This window comes from Homo sapiens, chromosome 6, assembly GCF_000001405.40.
Source record: "Homo sapiens chromosome 6, GRCh38.p14 Primary Assembly".
Classification (NCBI taxonomy): Eukaryota; Metazoa; Chordata; class Mammalia; order Primates; family Hominidae; genus Homo; species Homo sapiens.
Window position 1 is genome coordinate 34,624,252 of NC_000006.12, and position 20,594 is coordinate 34,644,845.

Sequence of the window (20,594 nt, forward strand, 5' to 3'; positions counted from 1 at the left end):
TCCAAGTATTTATTAATTCTATAACTAGAAAGTCAAATTCTAGACTACCAACTAATTACCTAATTTATTTTTTTATTTTTTTATTTTTTTTGATGAAGTTTCACTCTTCTTGCCCAGGCTGGAGCACAATAGTGTGATGTCGGCTGACTGCAACCTCCACCTCCCGGGTTCAAGCAATTCTCCTGCCTTAGCCTCCCAAGTAGCTGGGATTGCAGGCATGCACCACCACACCTGGCTAATTTTGTTTTTTTGTTTTTTTTTTAGTAAAGATGGGGTTTCACCATGTTCACCAGGCTGATCTCGAACTCCTGACCTCAGGTGATCCACCTGCCTGGGCCTCCCAAAGTGCTGGGATTACAGGTGTGAGCCACCATGCCCAGCCACCTAATTCAACTTTAAATTCCAAACATTTAAAAACAACAACCACCCATTCCTCTGGTACATCTTCCAAGGTGAGCTTTAACTTCTACAGAGCTAATGTGTTAGTTTTGAACAATTAAGAACAAAATAAGATATACGCCTCATTGGTCTTTTAAAAGAAACTCAAACCCTATTTTGGATACAATTATGAACAAAAAGTATAAAACATCATTACTGATGGTAACTAGTTACTCTTGGTGAAAGCTTTTGCTTCCGAGAGATCTTAGATAATACATTGTGTTAACTCTGCTCTCTCTTCCCTCTCCTCCTGAAAGAGGATGGGCTTTAGTTTCTGGCTTCAAGGAAACTGCTCCCCATCAATATCACAAACCTAGCTGGACCAGTGCAAGAACCAGCAGAACAAATAACATAGTAACCTCTCCCCATCAACATTCTCTCCAAAGAGAACTACACTAGCTCTTTAGTCATCAAATTCACTGACAGAAGTCGGAGTTGAATATAGCAACAAAGCAGAACTTCCTTAATGTTTCTTCTTTTTCCCTCCTCCCCCCTTCCCCTCTTTTTTTCCTATTTCTTCCTACTATCTTCTTCATTTCTTTGGTCTTATCCAGCTTTACCAAGCATCCCTTCCTTCTCATCTCCACCACACGCCCTTCATGGGCCAAGGTATTTTCCTAGCTCAAATGTGAGCACAGAGCTCTGGGGGCATTAATTCAGCACCAAACTGAGTAGGTCTATCAACATCTCTCATAGGGGTACTTAGAACTCCCTCATGGCCATCTGGACATCTCAATCCTACAAAAGGCAGTCAAACCACTCGCCCACATCTGATGTGCAGAGTAGACACATGTTCTCTTGGTCAGACATGCTGAAGTTGTACACCTTGATCTGTGATGGTTAGCTACTCAACTCTCTTACAGATGACCAGTGGGTGCTAATCTTCATCAAAAAGTACTGTAATCTCCAATCTATCTCCCATTCTTTCCCACAGAATGCCCAAAGTGTACTAGTCATGCTTAACCAGAGTTTATGCTTTTGCCCACCTTCTTTCAGTTTAGAAATGAAGTACCTTCTCCCAATCGCCAAACATGAATTTAATTTAGTTAAAAGACTAAATTTGGTAAAGTTTCCCATATTTGAGAAAGTCCTTCCAGCCTATCCTACCTCAAAGGTTATTATTTCTTACTGTTCATTATTTTTTCTTATTGAAAGGCTTTTTTTTTTTTTTTTTTTTGAGATAGCGAGTCTCGCTCTGTCGCTCAGGCTGGAGTGCAGTGGCACGATCTTGGCTCACTGCAACCTCTGCTTCCCAGGTTCATGCCATACTCCTGCCTCAGCCTCCCGAGTAGCTGGGACTACAGGCACCCGCCACCACGCCCGGCTAATTTTTTGTATTTTTAGTAGGGACGGGGTTTCACCATGTTAGCTAGGATGGTCTCGATCTCCTGACCCCATGATCCGCCTGGGTCGGCCTCCCGAAATGCTGGGATTACAGGTGTGAGCCACTGCACCCGGCCAGGAGGCATTTTTTAACAGATTCCTTTTTTTCTCTTTTCCAAGACAGGGTCTCTCTTTGTTGCCCAGGCTGGAGTGCAATGGTGCTATCACAGCTCACTGTAGTCTTGACCTTCTGAGCTCAAACAATCTTCCCACATTTGCCCGCAAAGTAGCTAGGACTACAGGTGCATGTCACCATGCTCAGCTAATTTTTAAATTTTTTTGTAGAGATGGGGGTCTTCCAATATATTGCCCAGGCTGGTCTCAAACTCCTAGGCCTCAAGCAGTCCTCCTGCCTCAGCCTCTCAAAGGGCTGGAATTACAGGCATGAGCCGCTTTGCCCGATCGTATTTTATTTTTTTATAGCAGTTTTAGGTTCACAGCAAAACCAAGAGATATTTCCCCCACATATGCACAACCTGCCTATCAACATACTGCACCACAGTGGTATTATTTGTTACAATCGATGAACCAACACTGACACACCATTATCACCAAAAGTCAATAGTTTATGTTAGGATTCACTCTATGTCGTACATTCTACGGGTTTGGACAAATGTACAATGACATGTATCCCCCATTATATTAATATATCAGGCGGGGTGTGATGGCTCACGCCTGTAATCCTAGCACTTTAGAGGCCGAGGTGGGCGGATCACGAGGTCAGGAGTTCCAGACCATCCTGACCAACATGGTGAAACCCCATCTCTACTAAAAATACAAAAATAAGCCAGGCATGGTGGTGCGCACTTGTAATCCCAGCTACTCGGGAGGCTGAGAAAGGGGAATTGCTTGAACCTGGGAGGCAGAGGTTGCAGTGAGCCGAGATCATGCCACTGCACTCCAGCCTGGGCAACAGAGCGAAACTCCATCTCAAAAAAAAAAAATGGTATTCAGAATACTTTCACTGCCCTAAAAATCTGTATTCTGCCTATTCATCTCTCCCTGCCCCCAGTTCTGACAACCACTGATGCTTTTACTGTCTCCGTAGTTTTATCTTTTCCAAAATGTCATAGAGTTGGAATCCAACAGTATGTAGCCTTTTCAGATCAGCTTCTTTCACTTGGTAATATGCATTTAAGGTCCTTCCATGTGCCTTAATGGCTCATTTCTTTTTAGTGCTGAGTTATACTCCATTGTCTAGGTGTACCACACTTTATTTGTCCACTCACCAACTAAAGGTCTTCTTCACTGCATCCAAATTTTGGCAATTATAGATAAAGTTGCTATAAACATCTGTGTGCAGGCTTTTGTGTGAATGTAAGTTTTCAACATCTTTGGGTAAATACCAAGGAGCACAGCTGCTGATGGGAGGGTAAGAGAATGTGGCTGTACCATTTTGCATTCTCACCAGCAGTGAATGAGAATTCCTGTTGCTCCACATTCCTACCAGTATTTGGTATTGTTGGCGTTTGGGATTATGGCCATCTTAATAGGTATATAGTGATATCTCATAGTTGTTTTAACTTGTAATGTCCTGAAAACATATAACGGTGAATATCTTCTCGTAAGTTTTTATATGCCATGCCATCTGTGCATTTTCTTTGGTGAGATATCTGTTCAGGTCTTTGGCCCTTTTTTTTTTTTTTTTGAGACAGAGTTTCGCTCTTGTAGCCCAGGCTGGAGTGCAATGGCGTGATCTCGGCTCACCACAACCTCCGCCTCCCTGGTTCAAGCTATTCTCCTTCCTCAGCCTCCCGAGTAGCTAGGATTACAGACATGCACCACCATACCCGGCTAATTTTTGTATTTTTAGTAGAGACAGGGTTTCGCCATGTCAGCCAGGCTGGACTTGAATTCCTGAACTCAAGTGATCCACCCGCCTCAGTCCCCGAAGTACTGGGATTACAGGCATGAGCCACCGCCCCTGGGCCTGCATACACTTTTTTCTTTTTTGAGATGGAGTCTCACTCCAAATATTGTTTCTGTCACTCAGGTTGGAGTGCAGTGGCACAATCTCAACTCACTGCAACCTCCACCTGCCGGGTTCAAACGATTCTCCTGCCTCAGCCTCCCAAGTAGCTGGGACTACAGGCACACACCACTGTGCCCCGCTAATTTTTGTATTTTTAGTAGAGACGAGGTTTCACCATGTTGGCCAGGCTGGTCTTGAACTCCTGACCTCAGGTGATCCACCCACCTCAGCCAGCTAAAGTGTTGAGATTACAGCCATGAGTCACTGAGCCTAGCCTTTTTACACTTTTTTTTTTTTGAGACGGAGTCTCACTCTGTCACCCAGGCTGGAGTGCAGTGGCATGATCTCGGCTCACTGCAACCTCCGCCTCCCAGGTTCACGCCATTCTCCTGCCTCAGCCTCCTGAGTAGCTGGGACTACTCCAGCTGCACTCACCTGCCACCACGCCTGGCTAATTTTTTGTAATTTTAGTAGACACGGGGTTTCACCGTGTTAGCCAAGATGGTCTCCATCTCCTGACCTCATGATCCGCCCGCCTCGGCCTCCCAAAGTGCTGGGATTACAGGTGTGAGCCACCACGCCCGGCCCACCTTTTTACACATTTTTGAAATTCAATCTGCTAATATTTTGTTGAGGATATGTGCATCTAAGTTCATGAGAAATAGTTTTATAATTTTCCTGTAATCTTTGTCTGGTTTGGGTATTAGGGTAACGTTGGCCTCACAGAAGGAGTTAGGAAGTATTCCATTTGCTTCTATCTTCTGAAGGAAATTGTAGAGAATTAGTATAGGCTGGGTGTGGTGGCTCACACCTGTAATCCCAGGACTTTGGGAGGCCAAGACAGGAAGACTGCTTGACCCAAGAGTTCAAGACCAGCCTGGACAATATGGCGGAATGCTGTCTCTACCAAAAGAAAACTAGCCAGGTGTGGTGACACATGCCTGTAGTCCCAGCTACTTGGGAGGCTGAGGTGAGGATCATTTGTGCCTGGGAGACAGAGGTTGCAGTGACCTGAGATCACTGCATACCAGCCTGGGCAACAGAGCAAGACTCTGTTTCAAAAAGAATATAAAAAGAGAATGAGTATAATTCTTCATTAATTCTTGGTAGAATTCACCAGAAAACTCATTTGGACCTGGTGCTTTCTGTTGCAGAAGTTTATTAATTATTGATCCAATTTCTTTCACAGACAAAAGCCTATTCAAGTTGTCTATTTTTCTTGAGCAAGCTATGACAAACTGTGTACTTCAAGGAATTATTCCATGATATCTAGGTTATCAAGTTTGTGGGCACAGAGTTGCTTGTAATATTTCTTAATTATCCTATGTTGGCCATGTGGTCTTGAACTCCTAAGCTCAAGTGATCCTTCTGCCTCAGACTCCCAAAGTGCTGGGATTATAGGTGTGAACCACTGTGCCTAGCCTCAATATTTAAAATATTTAATTCCACTCTCTTCTTGATTGCATTTCTGAGGAGAAATCATATGTAATTCCTACTGTTGCTCCTCCATAGGTAAGATATTTTTTCCCTTTGGCTTCTTTCAAGATTTTTCTTTATCTTTGATTTTCTGCAGTTTGAGTAGATATGCTAGATGTCATTTTCTGGGCATTATCCTGTTTGGTGTTCTCTGAGCTTCCTGGATCTGTGATTTGATGTCTGACATTAATTTGGAGAAATTTTCAGCCGTATTGTTTCAAATATTGTTTCTGTTCCTTTCTCTATTCTCCTTCTGTTATTCCCATTATGTGTGTATGTTACGCCTTTTGTAGTTGTCCCACAGCTCATGGATACAGGAGTCCTTCCTTATCCATGGAAAATAAGTTCCGAGACTCCCAATGGATGCCTGAAAGTATGGAAAGTACTAAATCCCATATATACTATGTTCTTCCCTATATATACATACCTATGATAAATTCTGACTTATAAATTAGGCCCAGTAAGAGGTTAACAATAACTGATAATAAAATAGAACAATTTCAACAGTATGCTAGTATCACTACTCTTGCATTTTGGGGCCATTATTAAGTAAAATAGGGGTTACTTCGACACAAGCACTGCAATATCCCAACAGTCGATCTGATAACCAAGATGGCTACTAAGTGACTAACAAGTGAATAGTGCATACACGTGGATATGCTAGACAAAGGGATGATTCATATCCTGGGCAAGATGGAACGCTCCTGAGAATGGAATGCAATTTAAAACTTAAGAACTGTTTATTTCTGGAATTTTCCATCTGATATTTTCAGACTGTGTTTGACTATGGGTAACTGAAACCATGGAAAGTGAAACTTTCCTATCCACCAGATAGGGTGATGGGGAGGCTACTGTATTCTGGGCTTCTTTTGTTTTGTTTTTGAAACAGAGTCTCACTCTGTCGCCAGTCCGGAGTGCAGTGGTGTGATCTCGGCTCACTGCAACCTCCGCCTCCTGGGTTCAAACGATTCTCCTGTCTCAGCCTCCCGAGTAGCTGGGTCTACAGGCACGTACCACCATACCCAGCTAATTTTTGTATTTTTAATAGAGATGGGGTTGCACCATGTTGGCCAGGATGGCTTCGATCTCTTGACCTCGTGATCCGCCCGCCTTGGCCTCCCAAAGTGCTGGGATTATGGCGTGAGCCACACCGCCTGGCCCTGGGTTTGTTTTTTTAAGCAATGAGGTCTCACTATGTTGCCCAGGCTGGACTTGAACTCCTGGGCTCAAGGAATGTTCCTGCCTCAGCCTCCCAAATAACTGGGACTACACGCACACATCACTGTACCTGGCTTGTTCTATTTTTATTCAGCCTTTTCTCTCTTTTTCAGTTTTGGAATTTCTACTGACATATCCACAAGCTCAGAGATTATTTCCTCAGTTGTGTCCAGTCACTAACAAGCTCATCAAAGTCATTTTTCATTTCTGTTAATGTTTATCTCTAGCATTTTGATTCTTTCTTAGAATTTCCATCTCCCTGCTTACATTATCCATCTGTTCTTTCATGTTGTCTACTTTTTCCATTGAAGAACTTAGCATACTATTTATAGTTTTTAAAAAAATTCCTGGCCTAATAATTCCAACACGCCTGCCAAAACTGATTCTGATGCTATTCAATTTCTCCAAACTGTGTTTCTTGCTTTTTAGTATACCCTGCTGAAAGGTAGACAGGATGTACTGGCTAAAAGAAACTGTAGTAAAGAAGCCAGTAGTAATGTAATGGTAAGGTGTGATTAGGTTTCAGTCTTTTGGTGAACCTACACTCCTGGACTATGAACTTCACCAGTGTTTCTCAGTCCCCCATTCCCCTCTTTTTTTTTTTTTTAAGACAGGGACTCACTCTGTCACCCAGGCTGGAGGGCAGTGGCGCGATCTCGGCTCACCGCAACCTCCGCCTCCTGGGTTCAAGCCATTCTCATGCCTCAGCCTTTCGAGTAGCAGGAATTACAGGCATGTACCACCACGCCCGGCTAATTTTTGTATTTTTTGATATACACAGAGTTTCACCAAGTTGGCCAGGCTGGTCTCAAACACCTGACCTCAAGTGATCTACGCACCTCAGCCTCCCAAAGTGCTGGGATTACAGGAGTGAGCCACCATGCACAGCCTAATACATTTTATTATTTGCTCACTATTTATATATCTTGCACTATCCCAGCAAAAAGAAGTATCTACTCAGAGAAACAGAAAGAACATTAGTGGCTGCCAGGGGCTGCAGGAAGGGAGGAAAGGGGAGCCATGCTTAACAGGTATGAGGTTTCCTTTTGGGGTTATAAAATACATTGGAATCAAATACAGATAATGGTTGCACAACACCATAAATTTACTAAGTACACTAAACTGCATGCTTTAAAATGATTTATTATGTGGATTTTACCTCAATTAAAAAAAAATCCATAATAGTTTATAGTTTAGTTAATACTAATCTAGTGGAATGGTATGAATTACTGAAAACTGTGTTTTTAAAAGTATTTAATGTTAAGGGGAAGAAGTTCTAAAACATTAGTGAATGGGAGAAAAAAGTAGGTTACATAAGAATAGGTAGCACAATACCATATTTAAACAACAAAAAAGTTTTTTGCTTTTAATACATGGATTTTAAAAAACTATGTGGAAATGCATACATTAACAGTGTTTAGGCTGGGCGTGGTGGCTCACACCTGTAATCCCAGCACTTTGGAAGGCTGAGGCGGGTAGATCACTTGAGGTTAGGAGTTTGAGACCAGCCTGGCCAACATGGAGAAACCCCGTCTCTACTCAAAATACAAAAATTAGTTAAGCGTGGTGGCACACGCCTATAGTCCTAGCTACTAGAGAGGCTGAGGCAAGAGAATAGCGTGAACCTGGGAGGCGGAGGTTGCAGTGAGCCAAGATCACACCACTGCACTCCAGCCTGGGCGACAGAGCAAGACTCCATCTCAAAATAAAAAAAAATAAGTGTTTATATTTGGATGGCAGAACAAATGTTTCCTTTTCTCTTTAGACTTTATTTTCTATAATAAATCATGTATTTCTTTTTATCAGAGCAAATAATTTTTTTTTTTTTTTTTTGAGATGGAGTCTCGCTCTGTCACCCAGGCTGCCTCCTGGGTTCATGCCATTCTCCTGCCTCAGCCTCCCGAGTAGCTGGGACTACAGGCACCAACTAACACACCCGGCTAATTTTTTTTTTTTTTGTATTTTTAGTAGAGACGGGGTTTCACCATGTTAGCCAGGATGGTCTCGATCTCCTGACCTTGTTATCTGTCTGCCTCAGCCTCCCAAAGTGTTGGGATTACAGGCGTGAGCCACCACGCCCGGCCAGAGCAAATACATTTTTAAAACAATTTAATCACAAGTAACCAATAAGTTTAGCAATGTAACTGATTTAAGTCTTCAACTAAGAGAACAAAACATATAATAAAGTGGTAAAACTAAATTCAAACATTTCAATAATTATATTAAATGTGAATAGTCTAAACACACCAATTAGAAAACACAGATTGTTAGAATGGAGGAAAAAAGATCCAACTACATGCTATCTATAAGAAACTCCAAATAAAATGATACATGCAGGTTGAAAGCTAAAAGATAAAGACCTTGTAAACACTAGTCAAAAGGAAGTTAAAGTGGCTATACTAGTATCAAAGTAGTCTTCAGAGCAAAGAAAATTATCAGGGAAGAAAAGGGATATTACACATTAATAAATGGGTAATTCACCTAAAAGATAATGCTAATATGTTATGTACCTAACAACAGAGCTTCAAAATACATGAATTAAAAACTGATAACTGAAAGGAGAAAAAAAGTAACAACACAAATCCACAATTGTAGTTGGACCTTTCAACACTCCCTTCTCAGTAACAGATAGAACTAGTAAACAACAACAAAAATCAACAGATATAAAGGAATTGAACAACAAAATCAACCAACTGGATCGAACTGACATTTATAGAACACTCAACTCAGCAAAATACACATGCTTTTGAAGTACGCATGGAATATTCACCAAGATAGACAACATCTCCTGGGTCATAAACACCTTAATAAATTAAACAAAAAATCAAATCAGCCAGTGTGGTAGCTCAAGTCTGTAATCCCAGCACTTTGGGAGGCCAAGGTGGGAGGACTCCTTGAAGCCAGTAGTTTGAGACCAACCTGGGAAACAAAATAAGACCCTGTCTCTACAAAAAATAAAAAGTAAAAAACAAGACAGGCATGGTGGTGTGCGCCTGTAGTCCCAGCTACTTGGGAAGCTGGGCAGAGTGAGACCCTGTCAGAAATGGAAAGGGAAAGAAAAGAAAGGAAAGGAAAAAGAAAAAAGAGAATAGGAAGAGAGGGGAGGGGAGAGGAGGGGAGGGGAGGGAGACATGGAGGGAGAGAGGGAGGGAGGGAGGGAGGGAGGGAGGGAGGGAGGGAGGGAATGAAATCATACAAAGGATATTCTCTGACCACAATGGAATTAAACTAGAAACTATTAACAAAGCTGGGAGCACATGCCTGTAATCCTAGCACTTTGGGAGGCAGAGGCAAAAAGATCACTTGAGCCGAGGAATGAGACCAGCCTGGACAAGCTAGCAAGACTCCATCTCTACAAAGTAAAAATAAAAATTAAAAATGTATTTTAAAAAAGAAACTAACATTGAACAAGATAAAAATTTCCAAACGTTTGAAAATTAAACACCACACTTCTGCATAATCTATAGGTCAAACAGGAAGTCTCAAGGGAAATTAGAAGATATTTTGAACTGAATGAAAATAAAAATACATTTCTGCATTCACTGCAGTGTCTAAAAATTTAAAAAAAAATACATTTCAGAAGTTGTGGGATTCAACTAAAAGCAACACTTAGAGGAAAATTTATAGTACTAAACACATATTATAAATGAAGAAAGGTCTCAAAGCAATAATCTCAGTTTCCACCTTAAGAAACTAGAAAATAAATCAAGAAGGAATTAATAAAATTAAGAGCAGAAATCCATAAAATTGAACACAGAATAGAGAAAAACCAATGAAACCAGAAGCTGATTCTTTTCAAAGACCAATAAAATTGGGAAATCTATCAAAAGAAAGAAAAAGAGAAGAGACACAAAATATCAAGAATGAAAGAAGGGATTATCATCAAACATAGATGTTAAAAGGATAATAAGAGGATACTACAAACAACTCTATGAACATAAATTCAACTTAGATGAAAAGGACCAACTCCTTGAAATTTTCCCACATCACTCAAGATGAAATAGATTACCTTAATAGACCTATAACTATGAAAATAAGTTGAACTAGTAATTGAAAACCTAAACACCTCCAGGTTTGAATGGTTTTGCTGGAAATTCTTTAGTAGAAGAATAACACCAATTCTATAAAATTTCTTACAGAAAAAAAATGGTACAACGTATCAGACAGCATCCACAGAGCTGCACTGTCCAAAAGAGCTGGTGGCCACCAGCCATATGGTGGCTATTGAGTACTTGGGATGTAGCTAGAGTCACATGTTGAAAAAATATTTTGGCTATATTCAGTTAAATAAAATGTATTATTAAATATTTTTTAAAGTCCTCAAATAAGGCTGTCAGAAATAAAATTCACTTTCACAATCACTTCTGATTTCTAAATATATAAGAGAAATCATGAAAATAAAACGTAAAAATGACTGAAATCTACTGAGCCAAAACCAAACCCACTTTAGAATTAAATTGCTTTCAAGATCATGTCAAAACAAACTATAAGCAAAACTCTTAGAAATCTGGCTGGGCACAGTGGCTCACGTCTGTAATCCCAGCACTCTGGGAGGCCGAGGCAGGTGGACTGCATGAGTCTAGGAGTTTGAGACCACCCTGGGCAACATAGCAAAACCCCGTCTCTAATCAAAATGCACATTAGCGGGGTGTAATGACGCGTGCCTGTAATCCCAGCTACTTGAGAGGTTGAGGTGGGAGAATCACCTGAGCCTGGGATGTCAAGGCTACAGTGAGCCAGGATCGTGCCACTGCACTCCTCCAGCCTGGGCAACCAGAGTGAGACCCTGTCTGAAAAAAAGAAAGAAAGGAAGGAAGGAAGGAAGGAAGGGAGGGAGGGAGGGAGGGAGGGAGGAAAAGAAACTCTTAGAAAGCTTTTTTTTTTTTTTTTTTTTGAGACACAGTCTTGCTCTGTTGCCCAGGCTACAATGCAATGGCGCGATTTCGCCTCACTGCAACCTCTGCCTCCTGGCCTCCTGGGTTCAAGTGATTCTCCTGTATCGGCCTCCCAAGTAGCTGGGATTACAGGTACCTGCCATCATGCTCAGCTAATTTTTATATTTTTGTAGAGGTGGGGTTTCACCATGTTGGACAGGCTGGTCTTGAACTCCTGACCTCTGGTGATCCACGCGCCTCAGCCTCCCAAAGTGCTGGGATTACAGGTGTGAGTCACCACGCTGGGCCTGGAAATCTTAAGAAGAAACTGGAAGGGCATTAGTTACTACAAAGAGAAATCCAGACTGGACGTACTGGTTCACATCTGTATTCCCAGCACTTCGGGAGGCGAAGAGGAAGAATTGCTTGAGGCCAGGAATTATAGACCAACCCTGGCAATGCAGTGAGACCCCAGCTCCACAAAAAAGGTTTTAAAAATATTAGCCAGGTAGGTAGTCCCAGCTACTTGTGAGACTGAGGTGGGAGGACTGCTTGAGCCCAAGAGTTCAAGGCTACAGTGAGCTATGATCCTGACACTGTCCAGCCTGGATGATAGAGTGAGACACTCTATATCAAAATAAATAAATAAATTAAATTAAATTAAAATCCAGAGGCCAGTAGGCTCACAACATTCTTTCTCGGGGCTGAATGTCCAACACTGACATTCCCTTTGTAAATAAAGGAAAGTATAAGCTCTTTAACAATAAAAGGAGAAAAATAAAAAGCTAAAGAAAGATTTTTTTTCAAAATAAAAATTACAGAACTAATTTCTAACTGAAAAATATCCTTGCCATTTCAAGGTAAAACCCATTACATCATTATAAGGCTGGTGTCAAACCATCGTTACAGGAACAGAATGCAATCTGCTTTTCAATAGGAGATTATCCTCTTCAAAGATCCCCAGAGTAATGTGAGGTTTCTAAGAATGAAGTTATGACTACATTCTAAACAATAATTAAGGAATATAAACTGTATCAAAAACTAAGCTATCAGATAAAAGTTTAAAAGCCCTCTACACTGTTTAAGATACCAATCATCATTATGTTAAAAAATAACCACACATTAGTTTTATAGCATATACTGATAATTTGAATAAAAGTCAATTATGCTTACTTCCTTATTTATAAGAAACATGTTCTAGTCTGATCTAGGGGCAAGTGCACACAATGGCACTTACTAAAAACTCCCATCACACAACAATTCAGTGAAACCTTCTTAAGAATTTCTTACCTGAAATGGTTTCAGCATATATGTCAACATATTTTTCTTTTGTAAAGAGAAAACATACATATCTAATTTTTAAGTATCACCTTTTTATTCATTTTTAATATCTCTGAAATGAAGATGGACCATCTAATGTTTTCATTTAATATGGCAGTGGCTCTACCTCTCTCCCCTACAAGGAAAGTAATCATTAAACCAAGGATGCATATTAAAATTACTGTCACTTCAGAACTGGGGAAGTGCAGTAAGTTCTATTTGCAAATGTTTTACTCTGACAGGGCTATATTCCCTAAATAAGTAAAACACTTTAACTATATCTGGCCTAAGCTATAGTCCTTACTAATGCATATATACAAAAAAGTTAAGGATTATATTAAGATACAAATTATGCTGAAATATGTCATCTTTAAAACAGTCAATGGTTTTACAACTATTTATTTTCCTTTTAACAGTAAGTATGCTAGTATTTTAGTACAGAATTGTACTTGATTTTAAGAATTTTTTAAGGAAATATCACTACTCCCTTAAATTCAGAATTTCTGGAATCCAACATTTCAGACTAAAGAAGCTTCTGTTTAACAGAAGGGCGCTGGCTACCATGAGTAAAAAAAGGTGCAGCTTTCAAATTATATTTTTGCCCTCTACCAAATCCTTTTCTATACATGTGTATGGTAAGTTGAGGAGTAAGAAAATTAATTTTAAAGCAAACATCATTAGCACTAACAGCACACATTAACACTACTCACAGCCAAGTGACTAGGCAGTGAAAACATTTGATGCTTTACTGCCTAGACATTCAATATCTTGCTAATTACTATACTTTACAAAGGATTACTGTTTCATCAGATTTTTAAATTTTTGATGGCCCATAGAAGGTTCAAGACCCACATATATGCATTTTAGAGGTTAATCTGAACAGTACAGTCATTTCACATTGCTGTTGTTGTTGCTGCTGCTGCTGCTGCTGCTGTTGTTGTTGTTGTTGTTGTTGTTGTTGTTGTTGTTGTTGAAACTGGGTCTCACTCTGTCACCCAGGTTGGAGTGCAGTGGAGTGATCTCGGCTCACTGCAACCTCCGCCTCCCAGGCTCAAGCAGTCCTCCCACCTCAGCCTCCCAAGTAGCTGGGATTACAGGTGTGTGCCACCATGCCCGGCTAATTTTTTGTATTTTTGGTAGAGATGGAGTTTCACCATGTTGCCCAGGCTGGTCTTGGGCTCCTGGGCTCAGGCAATCCACCTGCCTCGGCCTCCCAAAGTGCTGGGACTACAGGCATGAGCCACCATGCCGGGCCTTCATACCGACTTTGACTCACACAGAACTATCTGGAAATGACCACCAAAACAAACAATCACCACCACCTGGTGGCAGTGCAACTGACGGCAGGTTTCCTTCTTCAAAGATGAAATAGCCTATCATCTCATAACATAATATTTTAGAATTTCAGATCTCATTTACATTTTGAAACATTCCTTCTAAAATATTTTCCATACAAGTCACAGCTTAGGCTAGAATTTCTCTTATCAAAAATGAAATTTGGCAGGTTGCTGTGGCTCATGCCTGTAATCCCAGCACTTTGGGAGGCTGAAGTGGGAGGATCGCTTGAGCCTAGGAGTTCAAGACCAGCCTGGGCAACTTGGCAAAACCCCGTCTCTACAAAACAAAACCAAAAACAAAAACCCATGCCTGTGGTCCCAGCTACTTGGGAGGCTGAGTTGGGAGGATTGCTTGAGCCTAGGAGGTTGAGGCTGTAGTGAGCCGTGATCACACCACTGCATTCCAGCCTGGGTGACAAAGCAAGACCCTCTCTCAAAAAAGAAAAAAAAAACAAAAATGGAATCTTATTTTCAAGGGCTACTCATATTTCTGGTATTAGAGAATTCTAGAGACCAGAACTGAAACAGTGAGCATCTTATGGAGGATCTTCTAGAAGCAGATGAAGCCTTTTTGAGTTCAACATAAAAGAACAATGTTCTAAAGGTGGGGTTAATAGGCAAAAGGGCAAGATAACTGGGAGAAATGTCGGGCAGAATAGCATGTGAGTAGAAGACATCATGGATTCTAGTATGAAGAAGTTTGTATGAAACCATAGCTTCTTTTGTAACATGATGTTACTAAAACACAAGCAAGAAATAAGGAAAGCCTCATGTTACCTGGTTAGGTAGGACATGCTATAAAATGGAGAAAGTAAAGGAAGAATTTACAAAGGTTTTGGGAAATAAACAGTGTAGTTTACATAGAGCACCCAATAAGTTTCCTAACATGTGGGACATATTGTGGTTTGGGACCTTCATAAGGGGAGCTTCATTTCTAAACTCTGAGAAACCAAATGAATAATGCATAGGTTATTTACTCGATATGTCAAATGTCCCTAGGGACCCATATGAGGTATTTAACAAGAACTACTTCAAGTAGTGGAAACCCCCATAAGTGCGAGATAATCAGACTATCACTTGACTTAGCTTATTTCACAACTAGGACCCTGAGAGTTAGAGGAAACCGTCATGGTACAGGGTAAATCTCTCCTTTGGAAATCTGGAAGGCGGCTCTCTGTTAGTAGGAGATGAAGCATATTACTACTGGCATCCAGGCTAAAACAAGGACAATCACTCATGCTGCTTACCCTTTGCCCAGAGTCCAATGTCCTATAGAACTGAGTATCTTCTAGCAGGCAGGAACTCTCTGGGGAAAACTGACACCCAACTACCTAAGAATAGCCCTGTCAATCTCAACTCCACCTCAATGCCCACTCACTCTGGAAGTAGAGAGAAGACTTCCGGACCATATACTCCACCCTCACTAAACTCTAACAAGTATTAACACCCTAGAACCAGTTTCCTTCTGAACCCCATATACTAGTGACAGCCAAAGTAATGACAAAGATAATAAAATTACTTTTGTTAATTTATAACTATAATTCGTAACTAATTTACAACTTTTACTAGACCTTAAGCCTCTCTGGTCTTTAGTTTTCTCATCAATAAAATGCAGCTAATATTTCGCAAGGTAACATATGCAAAAAGCCCAAAATAATACCTGGCAAATAGTAAGTACGAGAATTTGTTAGTACTTTCTACTATTTGTTAGTATTTGCTACTTAGATAAAAGCTAAGAAGCTAATCCTTTGGTGGGGTGGAGTGGGAAGGGGTATCAAAATCGAGGAAAAAAAAGATAAAATGTTAGGGCTTGAAAATAAATCTGTCAAAAATCAGATACTTATTAGTCTTGGACCAAGTGAGCTAGAAATTTGTGTGGTGGGGGACAGTGTTTGTTATCAAGATAAACAGGTGAAGCCACGGATCTTTAGTGGGAGGAGGCCAGAGGTCTTGTAATATGCCCCACACAGTGAAGAAGTGTCCACACCACATGCCGAAAGCACGCCCACTGAGAAACTCTGAGAGAGCACAGCCAAGCTGAAACAGGGTGGAGGAGACCTTTTACAGGAGACCTGTAACTGACTGAATACAGCAAAAATTCTTTCTAAGAGGAAACGTGAACTGAAACAATCTAAGAGTTATTATAAAAATAAAGGGAGTGGGCCGGGCGCGGTGGCTCATGTCTGTAATCCTAGCACTTTGGGAGGCTGAGGTGGGCGGATCACAAGGTCAAGAGATTGAGACCACCCTAGCCAACATGGTGAACCCTGTCTCTACTAAAAATACAAAAATTAGCCGGGTGTGGTGGCGCGCACCTGTAGTCCCAGCTATTTGGGAGGCTGAGGCAGAAGAATTGCTTGAACCCGGGAAGCAGAGGTTGCAGTGAGCTGAGATCACGCCACTGCACTCCAGGCTGGTGACAGAGCGAGACTCCGTCTCAAATAAATGAATGAATGAATGAATGAATGAATAAATAAATTAAAGGGAGTGGATTCTTTCTCAAGAAGACCATCTAAAGATTACAGAAGCAGCCAGGCACGGTAGCTCATGCCTGTAATCCCAGTACTTTGGGAGGCTGAGGCAGGTGGATCACGAGGTCAAGAGTTCAAAACCAGCCTAGACAACATGGTAAAACCCCATCTCTACTAAGAATACAAAAATTAGCCGGGCATGGTGGCACATGCCTGTAATCCCAGCTACTCGGGAGCCTGAGGCAAGAGAATCGCTTGAACCTGGGAGGCAGAGGTTGCAGTGAGCTGAGATGACGCCACTGCACTCCAGCCTGGGCGACAGAGCAGGACTCCATCTCAAAAAAAAAAAAAAAAAAACAAATTATAGAAACAACCACCCCACCAAAAACAGAAACCTCCAAAAAGCAATCTTTTGTTGTTAAAACAGAAAGATGAGGTCCAGAGAAGTTACCTAATTTGTCCAAGTTTGTGCCTAGGCAACAGAGTCCCACAGTTCACACTCTTAGCCACTATATTACACTCAATAAGCTAGTAAGCCGAGTGAGCCAATCATGGTTATTATGGAAGTTTATTTTTTTCCATGTGCTCATGGCTATGGTTGTATACATAATCTATTCTCTTTCTGTTACTGATACTAGGGTATGTTTTACAACCAATAATAATTTGGATTCAATGAAATACAGTACTTTATAAAATGGAATTAAACTGTTCACTGGAGCAGATAAAGGTTGGCAAACTATACCCCACAGAGCTCCAGCGGTCATCCCAGACACACAAGGGCTGGAAAACATAAGCCAAGGAGGCCCAGAATTCAACGAAACATTTCATGTTTATCCTTTCCCATTTTACAAGGAGGCATTCATATATACTTCTGTCAAGGAAAAGGTTCCATAGCTTAACAAAAATGCTTGAAAACTACAAAATCAGATGAATTATTAAAATCCCTTGAAGGCACTAGATTCCACAAAGTCCTGAGAAACAACTTACAGACTATTAAGACCAAAAAAGGGTTGTTAAGTTAAAATTAGGGGTTTAAAGTTAAAATGTTAATGTTTTTGCTCCAAGGCTAGTATACAAAGCATCTTCAAAAAGTTCATGGTGGGTAAGCACAAAATTAAATCTAAAAAAAAGAAAAAAAATCATGGAAATTGAGTATTATGAAAAAACTATGCATGGATTTCAACTTCTTTTTGCATCAAAGTAAACTCTTACTAGCTTATTATAACAAATCTGAACAGCACCTAGTTTGAGGCACTAAGGACAAGACATCAGTTTAAAAAAAACTCCTCACTATGAATTTTGCTAAAACTGAAGCAAGGGCAAACATCCAATTCATAGTGAAGTTTGAATCCACTATGGAAGATCATTGATGCTTTACAAAAAGTTTATGGGGATAATGCCCCAAAGAAATCAGCAGTTTACAAATGGATAACCTGTTTTAAGAAGGGACGACATGACGCTGGAGATGCCCATAGCAGCGGACCATCCACATTAATTTTGGAGGAAACAATTAATCTTGTGTATGCTCTAACTGAACAAGAACCAATGATTAATAGCAGAAACAACAGCCAACACCACAGCTGAATCTCAACCGATTCAGCTTACACAGTTCTGACTAAAAAATTAAAGTTGAGCAAACTTTCCAATCAATGGGTACCAAAACTGTTAAACCCAGATTAGCTGCAGACAAGGGCAGGGCTTTCAATGGAAATCTTAAGCAAGGGGATCAAGATCCTGAAGTATTTCTCAAATAACTATAACAGGAGATGAAACACGGCTTTACCACTGTGATCTTAAAGACAAAGCACAATCAAAGCAATGGCTACCAAGAGGTGGAAGTGGGCCAGTCAAAGCAAAAGTGGACCAGTCAAGAGCAAAGGTCATGGCAACAAATTTTTTTTGGCTCCGCAGGATATGTTGCTTGTCAACTTTCTAGAGGGCCTAAGAATAATAACAGTGTTCTGAGAGCTGGGCACAGTGGCTCACACCTGTAATCCCAACACTTTAGGAGGCTGAGGAGGGAGGACCACTTGAGTCCAGGAATTGAGACCAACCTAGGCAACATAGGGAGGTCCCGTCTCTACCAAAAAAAAAAAAAAAAAAAAAAAAAGGCATGATGGCACATGCCTGTAGTCCCAGCTACTTGGGAGGCTGAGGCAAGAGGATCACTTGAGCCAAGGACTTTGAGGCTGCAGTGAGCTATGATCGTTCCACTGCACTCCAGCCTGGGTGACCAAGGAGAAAAAAAAAAAGGAAAGAATGAAAGAGAGAGAGGCCAGGCGCAGTGGCTCACATCTGTAATCCCAGCACTTTGGGAGGCCAAGGTGGGCAGATCACCTGAGGTCAGGAGTTCAAGAACAGCCTGGCCAACATGGTGAAACCCCGTCTCTACTGAAAATACAAAAACAATTACCCAGGTGTGGTGGTGAGCGCCTGTAATCCCAGCTACTCGGGAGGCTGAGGCAGGACAATCACTTGAACCCAGGAGGTGGAGGTTGCAGTGAGCCAAGATCATGTCACTGTACTCCAGCCTGGGCGACAAGAGCAAGGACCCATCTCAAAAAAAAAAAAAAAGTGCGTGTGTGTGTGTGTGTTAGTTTTAAGAAACTCAGCCAAAGCTTTAGCAGAAAAAGATCTACTCCACTATGACAATGCTCCTGCTCATTCCTCTCATCAAGCAAAGGCAATTTTCTAACAGTTTCCATGAGAAATCATTAGGCATCCACCTTACAGTCCTGACTTGGCTCCTTCTACCTTCTTTTTGTTTCCTAGTCTTAAAAATCTTTAATGGACACCCAGTTTTCTTCAGTTAATAATGTAAAAAAAAACCTGCATTTACATGGTTAAATTCTTAGGACCCTCAGTTCTTTGGGGATGGACTAAATGGCTGTTATCATTACTTACAAAAGTGTCTTGAACTTGATGAAGCTTATGTTGAGAAATAAAATTTATATATCTTATTTTTATCTTTTTTTGTTTGATATGAAGCCTTCACTCTGTTGCCCAGGCTGGAGCGCAGTGGCGCGATCTCGGCTCATGGCAACCTCCACCTCCCAGGTTCAAACAATTCTCCTGCCTCAGCCTCCCGAGTAGCTGGGATTACAGGCGTGAGCCAACTGCCCGGCTAATTTTTGTATTTTTAGTAGAGACAGGATTCCACTAGGTTGGCCAGGCTGGTCTTGAACTCCTGACCTCAAGTGATATGCCCACCTCGGCCTCCCAGAGTGCTGGTATTACAGGCTTGAACCACTGCACCCGGCCTTTACTTTTATTTTTTAATTCCATTTTTCCAAGATCTTTTTAAAGTCCCCTCATATTTATATTCCAACTACTTTTGAATTTGAGAGAGTTGCTATGAGTATAAAATGTAATGTCCCACATAGTGATAATTATTTTAAATTTAACACTAAAAACACACACACATAAAACAAGACTAGCGTTCTTAACCACTAGGGAACATTGAGAAGTAGTATTTTTTCATCAAAGGGATTTTTTTTTATTTTTAAGTCATGTATATTGTCTTCTTCTCCCCTTAAAAATGGTAGCATGTATTTTAAAAATTTACTAAGTAGCTATTCTCCATTCTGCATTAAGCTCAACATTTTTGAGTTATAAAGATAAACCAGACATGTGTCACCTTCAGTTTTAAAGATGACATGAGACATTTATCAAATTAAATGGGTAGAAAGACGTAAAGTGCCAAGAGAAGAAACAAAGGAGTGAGAGGTGAAGAGCTAATATAAAGGAGCTCAGCAGTGGGAGAAACAACTTCCAATCCCAGGTCAAGGGGATTCTTAGCAGACACTGCCTGAAAATGGAGTCCTACAGGGAAGAGACAAATAACCTCTCTACATTTTGATACGTGATTATTCAATTATTCAACAAATTGTTCACAATTTCATAGGATAAAAGGATAAGCAAAACAAATACCTAATATACAATGTGTTAAATATAATAACAAGCATGTGCATGATATTAATGAAGGGGGAGGGATGAATTTTCTTAGGGTAGTGGGGAGAGGAGGCAAGGGGGAGGAAGCAAGAAGGAAAGGTGACTCAGGCAGGGCCTTGAGGATGAGCAGCAGTTTGGTGAAATAAAAGGATAT

At 40.8% G+C, this 20,594-nt stretch overlaps 1 protein-coding gene across 6 annotated transcripts in view, besides 1 other annotated feature; it reads right to left on the reverse strand.

Annotated features, from left to right (window-relative positions):
• ILRUN (inflammation and lipid regulator with UBA-like and NBR1-like domains) overlaps nt 1-20,594 on the reverse strand; it is a 109,480-nt gene that overhangs the window by 36,964 nt on the left and 51,922 nt on the right. The window lies entirely within an intron of this gene.
• Nucleotides 18,728-18,902: a silencer, noted in NCBI's record as "fragment chr6:34610756-34610930 (GRCh37/hg19 assembly coordinates)". NCBI's record gives its function as "represses an EF-1alpha promoter that drives an FKBP-Casp9 reporter gene in an ReSE screen in HepG2 liver carcinoma cells {active_cell/tissue: HepG2}" and the evidence as "EXISTENCE:reporter gene assay evidence [ECO:0000049][PMID:32094911]".